General features: G+C 50.4%; 1 protein-coding gene across 7 annotated transcripts in view, besides 2 other annotated features; it reads right to left on the bottom strand.

Moving 5' to 3' along the window:
- The window catches only part of RAB11FIP3 (RAB11 family interacting protein 3), a 97,363-nt gene that overhangs the window by 57,489 nt on the left and 19,460 nt on the right, over positions 1 to 20,414 (bottom strand). For 6 of the 7 annotated variants that reach the window (NM_001370401.1, NM_014700.4, XM_017023907.2 and 3 more), the window contains exon 2: positions 4,026 to 4,119. In NM_001370401.1, the coding sequence (NP_001357330.1) occupies positions 4,026 to 4,119 (94 nt within the window). Of the gene's footprint in view, positions 1 to 4,025; positions 4,123 to 20,414 lie in introns of those variants that run through there. The other variant, XM_011522765.3, reaches the window with a different exon arrangement.
- Positions 19,200 to 19,700: an enhancer, noted in NCBI's record as "H3K4me1 hESC enhancer chr16:495823-496323 (GRCh37/hg19 assembly coordinates)". NCBI's record gives its function as "activates a minimal SCP1, AML or CMV promoter by ChIP-STARR-seq in naive H9 embryonic stem cells {active_cell/tissue: H9 hESC(naive)}" and the evidence as "EXISTENCE:reporter gene assay evidence [ECO:0000049][PMID:30033119]".
- Positions 19,701 to 20,201: an enhancer, noted in NCBI's record as "H3K4me1 hESC enhancer chr16:495322-495822 (GRCh37/hg19 assembly coordinates)". NCBI's record gives its function as "activates a minimal SCP1, AML or CMV promoter by ChIP-STARR-seq in naive H9 embryonic stem cells {active_cell/tissue: H9 hESC(naive)}" and the evidence as "EXISTENCE:reporter gene assay evidence [ECO:0000049][PMID:30033119]".

Raw genomic sequence — 20,414 nt, 5'->3', positions numbered from 1 at the left:
TGAGATGCCCTGCCACACTGCACCCTGCCCCATTTTCCCTCCTCCAATCTTCCAAAATGGTTACATCGCCATCTTCAGTTACATCAATATTCAATTTAACTATTATGGCTATGTAAAATATGGCTTGTTACTGGACCAAGAAGTACAGGCTGTCTTATTCCACTTCTTGTTTTTCATGGAAGTGGTAACTGCCTCCTGGGGTCTTGTGCTTGGCCTCCATGCACCCATCTCAGCCCCAAACACTGAGGCCTCTCCGATGACAACCAGTTCTGGGGGTCCCCGGGCTCCCTCACCATCAACCTAGAAGCCTGCATCCAGTAATTCTTGACTTAAGAGTGAAGACGAAACACAGCTATACAAAACAAAAACGACACAGCTACCAGCTTCATGAGCGGCTTTTCTCCTCCCTGCGACTGAGACCAAGCTAACGTGAGTCTCCAGCTCGCACCTCCATGAACTCAGGGGACCAATGATTAGAAAAGAAGCATCCTCTCAGGCGTACCCATCACATGCATAAAAACCACCCAGCCGGCCCAGCAAGTACCAAAGCATCAGTGTCATAAAGATCGCATTCTCTATTACACACAAAATTCTGTTTGGAATTAATGGCAAGTTTTTTTTGTTTTGTTTGTTTTTGAGACAGGGTCTGTCACCAGGCTGGAGTGCATGGAGTGCAGTGGCACAAACACAGCTCACTGCAGCCTCCACCTCCTGGGATGCTCCCACCTCAACCTCCCAAGTAGCTGGGACTACAGGCATACGCCACAATGCTCAACTACTTTATTTTTTTGCACAGCCAAGGTCTCACTATGTTGCCCAGGCTGGTCTCACCCTCCTGGGATCAACTGATCCTCTCACCTCAGTCTCCCAAAGTGCTGGGATTACAGGTATGAGCCACTGTGCCTGGCCCATAATGGATTTTTCAAACTAAGAGGAAAAAATTTACACCTAGAATCTCCCCAGAGCTAACCGGTGAATCAGTTAGAGAACAAACTCATCCCGAGGGTCATGGGCACAGCTGCCATGTCCCAGGAGTAACCTGAGGAGAACCAGACTTTCCAGAAGGCCTGGAGGGAGGACCTGCAGCACGCCATGCAGCAAGCCTCAAGGCACAGTATGTGAGACGCCAAAATTCTCACAAAGCCGCTACTGAAAGCTTTGTACAGAAGGACAAACGTTAAATAAATGTATAAAGTACACACCTATCCTCTTAAGATGTTACTTAAGGGTTGCAGCTTATCAGTTAGACTGAGACACGGCCCCATCAGCCTCAACCTGCTGGTGCTCAGCCTGCAGACTCTGAGGCCTCCTGACTGTCCTCTTCCTCCCCCTTCTCCTGCCAATGCTGCCTCCTGAGGGTCTGTGGCCACCCACTCTGCCCATTGCTCTGCAGGCCCCCTTGACCCAGAGCTTGCCTGCACGCTCCTCTCAGCCTGCAGAGCCTGCAGTATCTCTCCATCCTCGTCCTGGGCCCCTCGCCCCACCTCAGGACTGCTTCCTCACCTGGGCCAGATGGTCTTTACCTGGTTGTCAGGGTGTCCTTTCTCCCCTCCACCCCTCCTCAGAGAGGGCTGCCTGCCTAGTTCCCATCTCACCCCCGGCCTGCTACGCTGACAGCAGCAGCACCTCACCCATTTGTCCTGCCGCAGCCCGCTGGCCTTGCTCTGGTGCTGGTTCACCACAGAGGCCCCGGGGCCAAGCCCAGCGCAGAGGCCGTGCTGGTCCCACAACATGTTCATGGGTGGAAGAACAGACAGTCAAATAAAGAGTAACAAATGGGGAACAGGCCGGGCGCAGTGGCTCATGTCTGTAACCCCAGCACTTTGGGAGGCCAAGGTGGGTGGATCACCTGAGGTCAGGAGTTCGAGACCAGCCTGGCCAAAACGGAGAAACCCTGTCTCTACTAAAAATACAAAATTAGCTGGGCGCAATGGCACATGCCTGTAATCCCAGGTACTCGGGAGGCTGAGGCAGGAGAATCGCTTGAACCCGAGAGGCGGAGGTTGCAGTGAGACGAAATCATGCCATTGCACTTCAGCTTGGGCAACAAGAGCAAAACTCTGTCTCAAAAAAAAAAAAAAAAAAAAAAAAACCGGGGAACAACACACAGCACGTTTCCCCAGAGCCATCTAAAGACTTGGCATCTGAGAAAACCCTTAGAGACACTGTCAGGCAATAATTCTGTGGAGGAGACAGACAAGACCTGAGGTCGAGGTCCAAGGGCATCCGTCTCCCTCACTGCACCTGCTGACTCTGAGGGCCCCAGCCAAGGTCTACTTATCCTGCACGTGCATGAAGGAGGGAAAGGACCCGCCACCGTCACCCCTACACCGCCTGGCCAAACATGAGGAAGTGAGATGGCCTGTTCAGAGCTTCAGAACTTGACGTAAGACGGACAGTGTATAGTATGGGGACTGGTGAGAGTGTGAAAAGGCACGGCCACTGTGAAGAACCGAGTTTACCCCAGCACATGACCCACTCCTAGATACAGGCCCCAAGGACTTGAAGACACGCATCCACACAAAGAGTTGTACACAAACGTGCCCATCACCAGGAGAATGAAGAAACGAAATACGGCACAAGCACGCAACGGATCGTGCTGGGAAAGGGATGGTGCTGGGGAAGACATTGTGCTGGGGAAGACATTGTGCTGAGGAAGGGATGGTGCTGGGGAAGGGATGGTGCTGGGGAAGGGATCGTGCTGGGGAAGGGACGGTGCTGGGGAAGGGATGGTGCTGGGGAAGGGACGGTGCTGGGGAAGGGATGGTGCGGTGCTGGGGAAGGGATGGTGCTGGGGAAGGGACTGGGGAAGGGACGGTGCCGGGGGACTGGGGAAGGGACGGTGCCGGGGAAGGGACGGTGCTGCGGAAGGGATGGTGCTGGGGAAGGGATGGTGCTGGGGAAGGGATCGTGCTGGGGAAGGGATCGTGCTGAGGAAAGAAGCCAAGTGAGAGCACGCGAACCCTCAAGACAGGTGAAACTGGCCAGGCACGGTGGTTCATGCCTGTAATCCCAGCACCTCAGCCTTGGGAGGCTGAGGCAGGCGGATCACCTGAGGTCAGGAGTTCAAGACCAGCCCCGCCAACATGGTGAAACCCCGTCTCTACTAAAAATACAAAAATTTTTATATGTTTTGTATTTTTAGTAGAGGTGAGCATGGTGGTGGGTGCCTATAATCCCAGCTCAGGCAGGAGAATCGCTTGAACCCGGAAGGTGGAGGTTGCAGTAAGCCGAGATCGGGCCATTGCACTCCAGCCTGGGTGACAAGAGTGAAACTCAGTCTCAAAGAAAAAAAAGAGAGATAGGCAAAACTAATCCATGGTGACAGAAATCAGCAATGGTGCCAGCAGGAGGGAAGGCACTGCCTGAGGGCGAGGGGTATGCGGCACCCACATGGGGACAGTGATGTGCGTGACAGGCTCCGCACTGCCAGGCACAGGACTCTGTCGGAGCTCACAGAGGAGCAGGTGTGAGCTGTACATTTCACTGCAGGTAAATTTTTACTCAAAGGAAGACTGGAAACAAACACTGAGCTCTAGGGAACGATGGTGGTACGGGCTGCAGTGTTCAGGGCGGTGTGCGCGGAAGCATGCTGATTACAAACACATCCCATTCAAGAGGGGCTGGGGGACAGACTGGAGATGGACAGAGACGTGGGGAGAGAGTGCGACGAAGTGCTGCCTGCAGAGCACGGGTGATGAACACCCACTTGGGTGGCCATGGAATCATTCTTTCAATATTTTGAAAATTCTCAAATTGTCATCATGAAATCTTTGAGGAAGGGGGCAGTTGCTTTCTAGCATTATGGAAAAGTAGTTAACGCAGCAAATTCTGGAAAACAGGGTATGTGAGGAGAAGGTAACAAGAAAGGAAAGAGACCACCTGGAAACCTGGGGTATGTTGGGGGCTTCAAGGAGAAGGAAAGATGTTAGAGTCAGCACGAGGAGCCTGGTGATGTGCAGGTGGCTGAGAGGGTGGCTGAGGAACGGGAGAGGAGGTGGGAGCTCATGGCGGGGATGACTGACCTCCGTTTCTGATGGCTGTGATCCCTTGGTAGAAGTCTTCAAAGCTGATCACGCCGAGCCCACTGGGATCCAAGTACTTAGTTAAGTCCTTCACCTGTAATTGCCAAATGAGACTAGGTTACCCTAAGCCTTTACAGCAGGGGTCCCCAACCCTGGACCTCGGACTGGGAGAGATCTGGTGTGTGGCCTGCTGGGAACGGGGAAGCACAGCAGGAGGTGAGGGAGCATTACCGCCTGAGCTCCCCTCCTGTCAGATCAGCAGGAGCATCAGGTTCTTCTCACAGGAGCGCAAAGCCTACTGTGTGCTCCGCATGCGAGGGGTCCAGGTTGCGCGCTCCTTATGAGACTCTAACGCCGGATGATCTGAACAGTATCATCCTGAAACCACCCCAACGCCCTGCCCGTCTGTGGAAAGGCGTCTTCTATGAAACCAATCCCTGGTGCCAAGAAGGCTGCGGGCCGCTTTAGGGAATCGGGATTAGGCTGTATCGCGAGCTTGGCTTTTTCACCACATGCAAAGAAGCCGCCAACAGGGGCGGTGCTGACAGTGACAGCCTCTGACTCCTCACGTGCAGGAGGCAGCACGGCCTCCATGGGCCACTGCAGACGGTCACAGCCACAGGACAGGCAGCACCCTGTAAATGGGCTGCCAGCAGCACCTGGCGTGATGAACCACAGGAGTAGGACCCTGGCCACTGAACGCCAGCAGCCAGGGTCTTACGTGGGGAGATCAGTTCTGAAGTTTTAGGTATTGTTCCGGCAAGGATCCAGCATGCCAACATAGATATGTTACATAGATAACATAGATAAGCACACACCGCCCATTCAGAAATGCCTTCCTGGCTCTGCAGAGTCCTTGGTAGCGAATAACTCAGGGAAAAAGACCCTTGATATCAAAAATCATAAACGCTAAGTAGGGTGACTCACACATGGACGTAACACAAAATGAAACTCTTCAGAAAGAATGCAGGTTTATTCTGCCAAGTGTAAATTGGATTTCATAAAAATTTAAAAATTTTCAGGGGATGGGGTGGGAGGGGGGAGAGTATTACAGAAAATACCTGGGCTTAATACTCAGCTGATGGGCTGACAGGTGCAGCAAATCACCATGGCACACGTTTGCCTATGTAACAAACCTGTACATCCTACACATGTACCCCAAAACTTAAAAATAAAAATTTAAAACTTTCATACTCAAAAGACATTAATAAAAGCAAAAAAATGACACTGACTGGGAGAAAGTATTTGCAAATCATATATCTGTTAAATGACTTGTGTCCAGAATATATAAGGAAATCTTATAATTAAGAAGACAACTCAGGCCAGGTGCGGTGGCTCACACCTGTAATCCCCAGCACTGTGAGAAACCGAGGTGAGTGGATCACCTGAGGCTGGGAGTTCCAGATCATCCTGACCAACGTGGAGAAACCCCATCTCTACTAAAAATACAAAATCAGCCAGGCGTGGTGGCGCATGCCTGTAATCCCAGCTACTCAGGAGGCTGAGACAGGTAAATTGCTTAAACCCGGAAGGCAGAAGTTGCCGTGAGCAGAGATTGCGCCATTGCACTCCAGCCTAGGTGATTGAATGAGACTCTGTCTCAAAAAAAAAAAAAAAAAAAAGACAACTCAATTTTTTTTTAAGTGGGCAAAAAACTTAAATAGAAATTTCATCAGAAAATATGTGTGAATGGTTGATAACCACATGAAAAAATGCTCAATTAGTCCTTAAAGAAATGCAAATTAAATTAAAACCACATTGCAGCCAGGTGCCTTGTGGCTCACGCCTGTATTCCCAGCACTTTGAGAGGCTGAGATGGGATCACCGAAGGTCAGGGGTTCCAGACCAGCCTGGCCAACATGGCAAAACCCCATCTCTACTAAAAATACAAAAATTAACCAGGTGTGGTGGCGCTCGCCTGTAATCCCAGCTACTCAGGAGGCTGAAGCTGGAGAATCGCTTGAACCCGGGAGGCGGAGGTTGCAGTGAGCCAAGATTGTGCCACTGCACTCCAGCCTGGGCTACAAAATGAGAATTTGTCTGCTAAAAAAAAAAAAAAAAAAAAAGTTTGAAGCTGGGTGTGGTGGTTCACGCCTATAATCCCAGCACTTTGGGAGGCTGAAGCAGGCGGATCACCTGAGGTCCGGAGTTCGAGACCAGCCTCACCAACGTGGAGAAACCCCATCTCTACTAAAAATACAAAATTAGCTGGGCGTGGTGGTGGGAACCTGTAACCCCAGCTACTCGGGAGGCTGAGGCGGGAGAATTGCTTGAATCCGGGAGGTGGAGGTTGTAGTGAGCTGAGATCGTGCCACTGCACTCCAGCCTGGGCAAAAACAGCGAAACTCTGTCTCAAAAAAAAAAAAAAAAAAAGTTTGAACACTGATAAATATTTGATGATATTAAGGAACTGTTCATTTTTGTAGGTGTGATGACATTTTCATAATTTTTTAAAGAGCACTGCTTTTTAGACACATGTACTGAAATACTTAGAAATACCTCTAGAATCTGGGGTGAGGCACAGATGTCACCAGAGGCATGCCTGCACGTTGCTGTGACTGGGGATGGGTACCAGTGCACCATTTCACTACTCTCCACTTTCATATGGGTTTGAACTCTTCCATAATGAAAACTTCAAGAACAGCAAAAGAGAAAAAGAGAGCAAAGAAGAAAGAAGTGTGGGCCAGGGAGAAAGGAAAAAGGAGGCAGCATTCAGCCACAGAGGGGGCAGACTCCTGAAGAAAGCCCCTCTTGGGTGGCGGGCTGGACTGTGAAAATGCTCAGGGACAGGGAGAGGCAACAGGCTGGCAGGAGCCCTGGCTGTAGCCACATCCATTAACTGACAAAACCCTAGGGCCTCAGGCAGGTTACGGCAGATGAGCATCGGTGAACCCGAGGAAGGCCCCCCAGGCCCTGTGGGCATCGGTGAACCCGAGGAAGGCCCCCCAGGCCCTGTGGGCATCGGTGAACCCGAGGAAGGCCCCCCAGGCCCTGTGGGCATCGGTGAACCCGAGGAAGGCCCCCCAGGCCCTGTGGGCATCGGTGAACCCGAGGAAGGCCCCCCAGGCCCTGTGGGCATCGGTGAACCCGAGGAAGGCCCCCTAGGCCCTGTGGTGAAGTCCAGATGCCGGGGCTGCTACCAAGCAGCAAGCACAGAACCCTCAAGGGCAGCCCTGCTGGAGATGCCAGGACACAGCTGCTCTGTTTCAGGAAAAGGATGGGGGGTGTAGCACGTGGTCAGCAAGGCTATAGCATCGCCCAGGAGGCAATCCAGAGAGCCCGAAGCACACAGGGCACCAGAGCAAGGCCCGGGCCCCCGTGGCTGGCCCTCTCGCCACTGTCAGCCAACATGCCTCATAAAGTCAGGCTCAAACAGGGCCAGCCCCAGCTAAGGGACCCCACAGTGTGGAATTCCTGAGCCAGAGACTGAGTTTCCGCTTCCCCTTCACAACGGAAGAGGCCGGGGCCATCGCCCCAATCCTAGGGCTCTGTGTGCTAGCGTGACTCTAGCCTCGGAAGTCCATCATCAACCAACTTCCTGGAGACAACTGGAGTTTATAAAACATCTCCCCACTTATCTCACAAAAGTCCTCATTCCTAAGCTCATTCCTAAGAATGTGAGAGTCTTGCTGGGTACCTGAGAGTTACCTAATCCGGAGTCCAGACTGGCCAATCTGTCCTGAAGATTCCTAAGAATTTCCACACTGAAGCTACTAATTGAACACAAAGTACCAAGTTGTTTATTCTGAAACATTAACCAAATATTTTTTAAACAAATCATTAACTAGAATAGGCCCCTTTTACATGTTACCATGTTAGAATGAACAAGAGTGAATCAAAGTATACATTTTTAAAACTCCATTTTAATTATATTTTCTTTATAATCTGTAGAACAGATGGATTTCATGTAATTGATGATTTGGGGATAGTTCTAATTCTCCAAGTCCAAAATACTCAATTCAGAGGCTTTCAAAAAAAAAAAAAAAGGTGAAACTGTGAAAAATGAGACAGCCTGCCCTTCCCTGCAAAATCCAGTAGTGGCAGAAAACCGAGCCAAGAGACATAAACCAGAGTGGCCAAAGCCAGCCAGCACCGCTCCAGCAGACGGACAATAAGTTACAGAAACACCATGGTGGAGAATCCACTCAGTCACTGGCTCCAGGGTGACTGCAGTATGAAAAACTTACTGACAAATTGCATTGTTCCTACTATGGATGTAGAAACATGATCCACTAATCTGAAAGAAAGGAAAGCAGAACAAGTTCTCCCACCACAGTCAACTAGGATCCCAGAGACTCCTCCCAGGATTCTCGAATAACACACTGTATTATGGCTTCACAGCAAAGCACCTTTCAGAACGAGAAACCGCCTTTCTGCATCTTGTTGTTACTATCATACTTGAATTATACTGTTTTCAACAAAGCTTATCTTATCAGAAACCACAGCAATAATAAGCAAAATGTTCCTAGGAGTTCCCGAAGCTATCTGTAAACTTCACACTAGATCAGCACATGGGCCAGCGTGGGCAGGGAGAGAGGCGGCTCTGGAAGCCTGGCTATACAGTATCTCCCAATGGCACTGAAGCCTGCGGCTCACCTGCCGATGGCACGGACACTTCTTTCTAAAAGCAGACGCGAAGCAGCTAAACATATACACAAAGGGCTTTCCCTGCTGTTCCCAACAAGTGCTCGTTTTGTTTTGATTTGTTGTTGTTTTTTTGTTGGTTTTTTTGTTTGTTGTTGAGATGGAGTCTCACTCCGTCGCCCAGGATGGAGTGCAGTGGTGCGGCCTCAGCTCACTACAACCTCCGCCTTCTGGTTTGGATGATTCTCCTGCCTCAGCCTCCCAAGTAGTTGCGATTACAGCTACCTTCCACCATGCCCAATCAATTTTTTAGTATTTTTAGTAGAGACAGGGTTTCACCATGTTGGGCAGGCTGGTCTTGAACTCCTGACCCCAAGTGATCTGCCCACCTCGGCCTCCCAAATTGCTGGGATTACAGGCATGAGCCACCGTGCCCAGCCTTGTTTTTCTTTTTCTTTTTCTTTTTTTTTTTTTGAGACAGGGTCTCACTCTGTCACTCAGGCTAGGGTGCAGTGGCACAATCTCAACTCACTGCAACCTCTGCCTCCCAGGTTCAAGCGATTCTCCCACCTCAGCCTCCCAAGTAGCTGTGTGTGCCGCCACACCCGGCTCATTTTTGTATTTTTGGTAGAGACAATGTTTTGCCATGTTGCCCAGGCTGGTCTCGAACTCCTGACTTCAAGTGATCCGCCCACCTTGGCCTCCCAAAGTGCTGGAATTACAGGTGTGAGCCACTCAGCCCACCTTACAGATGGGGTTTCACCATGTTGGCCAGGCTGGTCTTGAACTCCTGACCTCAGGTGATCCATCCGCCTTGGCCTCCCAAAGTGCTGGGGTTACAGGTGTGAGCGAGCCACCGTGCCCGGCCTTAATTCTTGATACTAATATCTGTTGTCCTGCACTTGAGTGGGAATCTTTCTGGTTGGTTCATTTTAACAGAGATAACTGAAGTACTCTTAGAAATGAAAGGATGTTCAATAAAATATTTGAGATGCACTTAGTATAAAGCCTGAACCAAACTAAGGCCAGGCATAATGGCTCACACCTGGCTTTCCAGCATTTTGAAATGCCAAGGCGGATGGATCACTTGAGCCCAAGAGTTCCAGACTAGCCTGGGCAACATGGTGAAACCTCATCTCTACAAAAAATTCCAAAAAATTCGTCGGTCCACGTGCCAGTAGTTCCAGCTACTTGGAAGGCTGAGGTGGGAGGATTGCCTGAGCCTGGGAGGTTGAGGCTGCAGCGAGCCATGATTGCGTCACTGCATTCCACGTGGGCGACAGAGTGAGACCCTATCTCCCAAAAAACAACAACAACAACAAAAACAGTGACAGGGAGCACCTGCTCCAGTCATATCCGATCACCCACCCAAGAATGGACTGACCACTGCTGAGTGCTTGTGAGAGTGTGCGCGGTTCTCAATTCTTTTTTTTTTTTTTTTGAGACAGAGTCGCCTCTGTTACCCAGGCTGGAGTGCAGTGGTGTGATCTCAGCTCACTGCAGCCTCCACCTCCCGGGTTCAAGCAATTCTCCTGCCTCAGCCTCCTTTGTAGATGGCATGACAGGCACGTGCCACCACGCCCGGCTGATTTTTGTAGTAGAGACGGGGTTTCGCCATGTTGGCCAGGCTGGTCTTGAACTCCTGACCTCAGGTGATCCGCCCACCTTGGCCTCCCAAAGTGCTGGGATTACCGGCGTGAGCCATGGCGCCTGGCTGCGCAGTTCTCAATTCTTTGATCTGAGTGGTGATTTTTACATATCACTGTATAGAGAACAGACAAGAAAGCTTATTCTTCAATCTGGTGCATGTGGCCAAGAAAAAAAAAAAAAAGAAAGAAAGCCTAGTTTTTTTGTTTTTTTTTTTGAGACGGAGTTTCGCTCTGTCACCCAGGCTGGAGTGCAGTAGTGCAATCTCGGCTCACTGCAACCTCCACCTCCCGGGTTCAAGCAATTCTCGTGCCTCAGCCTCCCAAGTAACTGGGATTACAGGCACGTACCACCACGCCTCGCTAACTTTTGAATTTTTAGTAGAGACGTCGTTTTGCCATGTTAGCCAAGCTGGTCTGGAACTCCTGACCTCAGGTGATCTGCCTACTGCCTCAGCCTTCCAAAGTACTGGGATTACAGGTGTGAGCCACTGCGCCCGGCCAAGAAAGCCTGTTCTTATACGCTTGAATGAGAAAGAGCCTGTATGTGACACTTTCTAAACCTGCAGGAAAGTTGGCTTCTGTTCCAAATCACATTAGCCTCAGGGACCTTGGACAAGGAGTTCCAGAGACAGGGGTGTTTTCATGGTTGGTTTTGTGGGTTTTTTTGGTTTTTGCTTTTGGGGTTTTTTGGTTTTGGTTTTGAGGAGGTATACAATATGAGATGAGGTCTACAACATGTTTCCCACGCTAGATGTGAACGACTAGACTCGGCCAATCCTCTTGCCTCAGCCTCCTGAGTAGCTGGGACTAGAGGTGAGTGTCACCAAACCCAGCTAATTTTTGTATTTTTTGTAGGGAGGCGATCTCGCTATGTTGCTCAGGCTGGTCTCAAACTCCTGGACTCCAGCAATCCTCCAACTGACCTCCAGAGTAGCTGGAACTACAGGGATGAGCCACTGTGCCTGGCTAGAGACAGTTTTTAATTCCCATTTAGTCAGCTTTGCACCAACTACTATAGCAAGCAACTTTATAGGGGGTTATGCTTGGCAGTTGATGCTTAACGACCCTGCTCAGAGTTGGCTCTAGATGAGGGGAGGCCTTTGCTTTTAACTGGGTGTGTGAGCAAGGAACAAAGACCCGCCTACTGGATGCTTCAACCACCTGGAATGATGAGGTCCTACTGGGAAAATGAAGGCATTTGAGTACATCTCATGTCTCTTTTCTTGGCAACTTAAAAGCTACGGTGTGTTTATCTCTAAATTGAAATTTGGAAGAAAGACAGGTAGGCTGAATAATATGAGTTTTCCTACTCTGAAATGTGCTCACTGGCAGCTCAGTTTTTCTGTTTGAAGTACAAAAATAGCTTCCTTGGCCGGGTGTGGTGGCTCACGTCTGTAATCCCAGAACTTTGAAAGGCCGAGGTGAGCAGATTGCCTGAGCTCTGGAGTTCGAGACCAGCCTGGCTAACATGGTGAAACCCCGCCTCTACTTAAAAAAAAATACAAAATTAGCTGGGCGTGGTGGCAGGCGCCTGTAATCCCAGCTACTGGGGAGGCTGAGGCAGAAGAATCGCTTGAACCCAGGGGGCAGAGGTTGCAGTGAGCCAAGATCGCGCCACTGCACTCCAGCCTGGGCAACAAGAGCAAAACTCTGCTTCAAAAAAAAAAAAAAAAAAAAACCAACTTCCTAAATCAGAGATCTGTTCTGATTACCCATGATGAGGAACCGGGGAACCGACTCGCTTTCCCTGGTTTAGAGGGGAAGGTTTAGAAAAGTCTAGAATAAAAGCACTGTGCTGGTCTGACATGCAAAATGTCATTCCACAGGTCCCCAGAGAGGCATATCACATATTCAGGAATCCACTTTTATCCATCAGAAATAGATGTGGCCAGGCCGGGCATGGTGGCTCACACCTGTAATCCCAACACTTTGGGAGGCCAAGGCGAGTGGATCACGAAGTCAGGAGATTGAGACCATCCTGGCTAACACGGAGAAACCCTGTCTCTACTAAAAATACAAAAATTTAGCCAGGCGTGGTGGCGGGCACCTGTAGTCCCAGCGACTCAGAAGGCTGAGGCACGAGAATCACTTGAACCCGGGAGGTGGAGCTTGCAGTGAGCCAAGATCGCTCACTGCACTCTAGCCTGGGCAACAGAGCGAGACTCCGTCTCAAAAATAAAAAATAAAAAAAAATTAAAAAATAAAGAAATAGGCCAGGCGCGGTGGCTCACGCCTGTAATCCCAGCACTTTGGGAGGCCGAGGCGGGCAGATCACGAGGTCAGGAGATCGAGACCATCCTGGCTAACATGGTGAAACCCCATCTCTACTAAAAATACAAAAAATTAGCCGGGCGTGGTGGCGGGCGCCTGTAGTCCCAACTACTCGGGATGCTGAGGCACGAGAATCACTTGAACCCGGGAGGTGGAGCTTGCAGTGAGCCAAGATCGCTCACTGCACTCTAGCCTGGGCAACAGAGCGAGACTCCGTCTCAAAAATAAAAAATAAAAAAAAATTAAAAAATAAAGAAATAGGCCAGGCGCGGTGGCTCACGCCTGTAATCCCAGCACTTTGGGAGGCCGAGGCGGGCAGATCACGAGGTCAGGAGATCGAGACCATCCTGGCTAACATGGTGAAACCCCATCTCTACTAAAAATACAAAAAATTAGCCGGGCGTGGTGGCGGGCGCCTGTAGTCCCAACTACTCGGGATGCTGAGGCAGGAGAATGGCGTGAACAGGGGAGGCGGAGCTTGCAGTGAGCCGAGATCATGCCACCGCACTCCAGCCTGGGCAACAGAGCAAGACTCTGTCTCAAAAATAATAATAATAATAATAATAAAGAAATAGATGTGTCCACCTATCAGTAGGAAGAGGCCTGCTTAGCACCCAATTCTAAGTCCTTCTTTGTGGCTTTTTTTTGTTTCCTTTTTTAAGATGGAGTCTCACTCTATCACCCAGGCTGGAGTGCAGTGGCATGATCTTGCCTCACTGCAATATCAGCCACCCAGGTTCAAGCAATTCTCCTGCCTCAGCCTCCCAAGTACCTGGGACTACAGGCCCCCACCACTATGCCCAGCTGATTTTTTGTTTGTTTGTTTGTTTCCTTTTTATTTTTTTAAGGAGTTTCACTCTTGTCGCCCAGGCTGGAGTACAGTGGCGCGATCTCAACTCACTGCAACATCTGCCCTCCCGAGGTTCAAATGATTCTCCCTCATCAGCCTCCCGAGTAGCTGGGATTACAGGCGCCTGCCATCACGCCCAGCTAATTTTTGTATTTTTAGTAAAGATGGGGTTTCACTATCTTAGCCAGGCTGGTCTCCAACTCCTGACCTCAGGCAATCCACCGCCTCGGCCTCCCAAAGTGCTGGGATTACAGGCATGAGCCACCGAGCCCCGGCCTTTTTGTTTGTTTTTTTCCTTTGTTTGTTTTTGAGAGAGAGTCTTGCTCTGTCGCCCAGACTGGAGTGCAATGGTGTGATCTCGGGTCACTGTAACCTCCGCTTCCCTGGTTCAAACAATTCTCCTGCCTCAGCCTCCCAAGGAGCTAGGATTATAGGCACACACCACCATGCCTGGCTAATTTTTTGTATTTTTAGTAGAGACGGGGTTTCTCCATGTTGGCCAGCTGGTCTTGAACTCCTGACCTCAGGTAATCCACCTGCCTCAGCCTGCCAAAGTGCTGGGATTACAGGTGTGAGCCACCATGCCCGGCCTAAGTCCTTCTAATCACAGCGATGGGCTCCTTCTTTGTGACAAGACAGGGACGAAAATGTGGGGCTCCTCCACACCACAGCTACCCCTCCCTGACACCTTTCCACGTTCATCGGGATTCCAATAGGCTGCTGCCCTCCAATCATCTTAACACCCCATTCTGTGTTTAAGAAGCTCCCTGATACGGGAAGCGTGGGGAGGGTGAGGTGCAGGGGTGAGGCAGGGGGGTGGGGAAGGTGAGGTACAGGGGTGAGGTGTGGGGAAGGAGGGATGGCCAGGGACAGAGGGGACTCCAGGTGCTCCAGAAAACACAACAGTACGGACTCTGTACTATTTCTGTTAACAGCTTCATTGAAATAAAATTCACATACCACAAAATCACCCATCTGAAGGGTACAATTCAATGGTTTTAGTATATTCAGAGCTGCCTCCACATTATTTTAAAGACAGGAGACTCTTAAAATGCACATGAGAATACTTGGAAAACAGCCAAGTGGATACATTCAAGCTTTCAGCAAACATGATGAGGAAATAAAACAGAATTTATGAAAGCAACCAAAGAGTCCACACATTCAACGATGGCAGGCAGAGCGCTGCGGTAACAGAAGGCCGCGGGGCTCCTTCCTGCACTTCAGGTCTGGTCCCTGGAGAAGCAGGTGTGTGCCCCAGGCGAGGGGAAGGTGAGCAGCTCCTAAGGGTGGGGTGGGGTGGGGGGCGGGGAGGGAGGGAGCGGGAGGCTCTCTCCCTGGGGCTAATGAATAGACTCCCTTTATGGCGCTTCTCTAGAATGCGAGCCAGCTGGGACTCCTCAGCTCATAGAACTCCATTCCCACCTTGCTTTCAAGGTCAGCATGCCCTCTGACCTACAGATGTCACTCAGATCCTCGGTCCCTTCCCTGTACAAAAAAGAGAAGTGGGGCCCTCATTCGCCAGCCCAGCCAAGCCCTGCTAGCCGCTGCAGTGTCCTGGGTAACACCAGCCCCCATGGGGACACCCTCAAGCCCTGACTCAGACCTAGACCCCTGAGCGGAAGTAAAGGAGGAAGAAAAAGAAACTAAAAAGTTATCCAATACTTGGTTGGGCGTGGTGGGTCACATCTGTCATCCCAGCACTTTTGGAGGCCAGGGGATCACTTGAGGTCAGGAGTTCGAAACTGACCTGGGCACCACAGTGAAACAAAAATACAAAAATATCTACCAAAAATACAAAAAATTAGCCAGAGCTGGGCATGGTGGTGCATGCTTGTGGTCCCAGCTACTCGGGAGGGTGAGACAGAAGGATCGCTTGAGCCCGGGAGGCAGAGGTTGCAGTATACCAAGATTGTTCCACTGCACTCCAGCCTGGGCGACAGAGTGAGACCCTGTCTCAAGAAAGAGAAAAAAAGTTTGTTGTGCACGTTCGGCAGGTCAAATGGTGAACTTCCTTGTAGGTGGCCTGGGTAGTGACCTGGCTTCCATGTTGTCAAGGAAGGTGTGCCAAGACTAGACCATGGTAGCAGGCAGAATTCTAAGACCCCCTCTCTTGAGTGTGGGCAAGGCCTGTGCATGTGGTGGCACAGTCACTGTGACGAGGTTAACTTAATCTTTAAAACAAAATTTTTTTTTGAGATGGAGCCTCACTCTGTCGCCCAGGCTAGAGTGCAGTGGCACGACCTTGGCTCACTGCAACCTCTGCTTCCCGGGTTCAAACAATTCTCCTGCCTCAGTCTACGCAACAGCTGGGATTACAGATGCCCGCCATCACGCACGGCTAATTTTGTATTTTTAGTAGAGACAGGGTTTCACGATGTTGGCCAGGCGGGTCTCAAACTCCTGACCTCAAGTGATCCACCCAACTCAGCCTCCCAAAGTGCTGGGATTATAGCTGTGAGCCACTGCACCCGGCCTAAAACTTTTTTTTTTTTTTTTTGAGATAGGGTCTCCCTGTCACCCAGGCTGGAGTGCAGTGGTGTGGTAAACACAGCTCACTGCAGCCTCAAGATCCTAGGCTCAAGCGATCCTCCCACCTCAGCCTCCTGAGTAGCTGGGACTACAGGTGTGAGCCACCACACCTAGCTGTGATTTATGTTAACTTAAGACTCCATCGTAGCAGCCTCCTGGTCTCAAAGAAGAAGTAAGCTGCCATACCTGGGAGGACCATGTGGTTGAACCTGAGGGTTCTCCAGGACCTAAGAACCATTTCTGGCAAACGACCAACCAGCAAACAGGGTCCTCAGTTCTATAACCTCAAGGAGCTGAATTCTGCTGAGCACCTGAATGAGCCCGACACTCTGTCCCGCCTGGTGACAGCGCTGTGAGACACTGAGCTGGAGATATACAGGACTGCATATTCCAGGCAGAGGGAATAGCTACTGCACAGGCCTGGAGGAGGATGTGTGCCTGTGGAGTGTCAGGAGCAGAGTGAGCAGGGGGCCGGCAGCTGGAAGTGAGGTTGGAGGGGCAAGAGGGCCAGAGCATAGCATGAGGAGGACTCTACTGTGTAGAGTGTGGTGGTCTCAGCGGACAGAGCAGGACCTAGCTATCTTTGGGAGCCATTATTTGGCCTACCACAGCCATCTTACTTTTTAAATTTCAGGTATAATTTCCATCCTGTTTTTATTTACTTATTTATTTACTTATTTATGTTATTCAATTTTTTTTTAGACAGAGTTTCACTCTTGTTGCCCAGGCTGGAGTGCAGTGGTGCGATCTTGGCTCACCGCAACCCCCACCTCCCAGGTTCAAGTGATTCTCCTGCTTCAGCCTCCCGAGTAGCTGGGATTACAGGCATGCACCACCACGCCCGGCTAATTTTGTATTTTTTTTTTTTTTTTTTTTCTTGAGACGGAGTCTCGTTCTGCTGCCCAGGCTGGAGTGCAGTGGCACCATCTCGGCTCACTGCAAGCTCCGCCTCCTGGGTTCACGCCATTCTCCTGCCTCAGCCTCCCGAGTAGCTGGGACTACAGGCGCCCGCCACCATGCCCGGCTAATATTTTGTATTTTTATTAGAGAAGGGGTTTCACCGTGTTAGCCAGGATGGTCTCGATCTCCTGACCTCGTGATCCACCTGCCTCGGCCTCCCAAAGTGCTGGGATTACAGGCATGAGCCACCGCGCCCGGCCTAATTTTGTATTTTTAGTAGACGGCGTTTCTCCATGTTGATCAGGCTGGTCTCAAACTCCTGACCTCAGGTGATCTGCCCACCTCGGCCTCCCAAAGTGCTAGGATTACAGGCATGAGCCACTGCGCCCGGCTATTTTTTTGAGACAGTTTCCCTCATTGCCCAGGCTAGAGTGCAATGGCGCAATCTCGACTCACTGCAACCTCTGCCTCATGGTTTCAAGTGATTCTCCTGCCTCAGCCTCCCAAGTAGCTGGGACTACAGATGCGCGCCACCACGCTCGGCTAATTTTTGTATTTTTAGTAGAGATTGGTTTCACCATGTTGGCCAGGCTGGTCTCAAACTCCTGACCTCACATGATCCGCCCACCTCGGCCTCCCAAAATGCTAGGATTACAGGTGTGAGCCACTGCGCCTGGACAATACGCTTTTTCATATGTCAAATTTTCTTTACAGTTTTTTTTCTTTTTCCTTTTTTAATTTTGTTCCACTATTTTAAATTGTCAGCGTTATTTTTCACAATTCATTGTGCCTGGCCCGTCCTGTTGTTTTAAATTAGTTGACCTGAAAGCTGAATGTAACCCTTTGTTCTCACCCTTTCTTCAGATGTGCTCATGTTGTTCACATTAACCAGACAACAGTCTGAGCATGAGTCTCTTAATGAATTTCTGTAGGGAGACAGGTATAATTTATACGTTTTAGTCTTCTTTTCTTTTTTGGAGATGGAGTCTCGCTCTGTTGCCCAGGCTGGAGCGCAGTGGCGCGATCTCGGCTCACTGCAACCTCTGCCCCCCGGGTTCACACCATTCTCCTGCCTTAGCCCACTGAGTAGCTGGGACTATAGGTGCCTGCCACCACGCCCGGCTAATTTTTTTGTACTATTAGGAGAGACGAGGTTTCACCGTGTTAGCCAGGATGGTCTCGATCTCCTGACATCGTGATCCACCGCCTCGGCCTCCCAAAGTGCTGGGATTACAGGTGTGAGCCACTGCGCCCGGCCACAATATATATATATTTTTAATTAGCCAGGTGCAGTGGTGCACACCTGTAGTCCCAGCTACTCAGGAGGCTGCCACTGTGCCACTGAACTCCAGCCTGAGTGACAGAGCGAGACGCCATCTCTCTCTCTCTGACTCTCTTTTTTCCTTTTTGGAGACAGGGTCTTACTCTACTGCCCAGGCTAGAGTGCACTGGCACAATCATAGCTCACTGAAGCCTCAAATTCCTGGCCTCAAGTGATCCTCCTGCCTCAGCCTCCCAAGTAGCTGGAACTACAGGGGTAAACCATCACACTTGGCTAATTTTTATATTTTTTGTAGAAACAGAGTCTCACTATATTGTTCAGGCTGGTCTTGAACTCCTGGCCTCAAGTGATCCTCCTGCCTCAGCCTCTCAAAGTGTTGGGACTATAGCTGTGAGCCATCACACCCAGCCCGTCTCTTAAAAAAATGTTTTTAAAGCCGGGCATGGTGGCTCACGCCTGTAATCCCAGCACTTTGGGAGGCCGAGGCAGGCAGATCATGAGGTCAGGAGTTCAAGACCAGCCTGGCCAACATGGTGAAACCCCGAATCTACTAAAAATACAAAAATTAGCTGGGCACGGAGGCATGTGCCTGTAATCCCAGCTACTCGGGAGGCTGAGGCAGGAGAATTGCGTGAACCAGGACTAGGAGGCGGAGGTTGCAGTGAGCTGAGATCACGCCACTGCACTCCAGCCTGGGCGACAGAGCGAGAGTGCGTCTCAAAAAAAAAACAAAAAAGTTTGAGATATATGAATAAAAAGGACTATATGGAAATAAGTCCTCACACTGAAGTGTGCTTGGAAAACAGGTCAACATGTCTCTGTAGGACACATCTGGACACCAGGCTAGAGCAGCAGATGCCACAAACTTCTACTGTGAAGGATGAGACCACGTGCAGGTGACCCTGCCAGTGCACAGAGCTCCCCAGCTGCACTGCCCACCCGATCTGCAGGCAGTGCCAAAGGCCACCTGGAAGACAGCCTGCCAAGGAGCACTCTTTATGTCCCTCTGAAGGAAATATCTGCTCCCAAGGAAAGCCCACCTGCAATGTCGTCCCCTAAAATAAAACAAGCCTCAGTGCCCTGCCTCTCTGGGTACCACTGTTCTGCTTCACATAGACAACCAATTTCAGATACGGGTCAGAAAGAGGCCAGGGTGATCTTTATTTTATTATTTCAAAGACACGGGGTTTCACTATGCTGCCCAGGCTGGAGTGCAGTGGTTAGTCACAGGAGTGATCATGGCTCACTGCAGCTTCAAACTCTTGGGCTCCAGTAATCTTCCCACTTCAGCCTCCCGAGTAGTTGAGACACGCACCCCCATGCCCAGCACCCAGGGTGATCTTTAGGGAAACAAAGATGACAGGATGCAAAGCTCCCATTCCCCAAGAGCAAGTAGGACCCAACGTCCCCAAATTCTATGATGCACCCTCGTCTCTGTGTCTAGAACACTTTCCAGCCCCACCTACCCCCACCTCACACAGGGGCCTACACCTGAGCCTCAGGACTGCATCCAGAGAACACCTGTACCTGGAGGCTGCTAGGTGCTCAGGCCATAACGTCCTTTTGCCCATCTGCCTCCCCCAGGGAGCAGCCAGGTCTGTCCCATTCTTGCTGGGTCCCTGCACCTGGGCCAAGTGGGCACAAAGCACCTCCCGCCGAGAGCACAGATGGGGAGAAATGGTGAGTGCCTGGAGGAAGGTTCTAATCTGTGGCTCCCAGATTTTCTGGCAGAACCTTTCTCTCCACAGTGGAGCCGCTACAGGAGCCAACAGCAACCCAGTCTCTGTGGGCCTGAGATTCAGCCACCTGCCTGAGGGTGTCAGCCTCAGATTCTCATCCCCCCATACCAGACCAGAGTCACTCCCTTGGGTGGGCAAGGGGGAGATTATAGAATGTCCATTTTTTTATTTTGAGATTTGCTTTAAATTTAAAAGAGCTCCCATATTGGCATAGTACCTAAAACCCAATCTTTTTTTATTTTTATTTTTATTTTGAGACAAGAGTCTTGCTCTGTCACCCAGGCTGGAATGCAGTGGCAAGATCTCAGCTCACTGTAAACTCCGCCTCCTGGGTTCAAGCGATTCTCGTGCCTCAGCCTCCCAAGTAGCTGAAACTACAGGCACTTGCCACCAGGCCTGGCTGATTTTTTTTTTTGTATTTTTAGTAGATTCGGGGTTTCACCATGTTGGCCAGGCTGGTCTCCAACTCCTGACCTCAAGTGATCTGCCTGCCTTGGCCTCCTAAAGTGCTTGGATTACATGTGTGAGCCACCGCACCCAGCCTGAACCCAATCTTTTTTTCTTTTTTTTTTTTTTTTTTGAGAC

This window comes from Homo sapiens, chromosome 16, assembly GCF_000001405.40.
Source record: "Homo sapiens chromosome 16, GRCh38.p14 Primary Assembly".
NCBI lineage: Eukaryota > Metazoa > Chordata > Mammalia > Primates > Hominidae > Homo > Homo sapiens.
The sequence above is the reverse complement of the archived record's forward strand: the minus strand, read 5'-3'. Positions and strand labels throughout refer to the sequence as shown.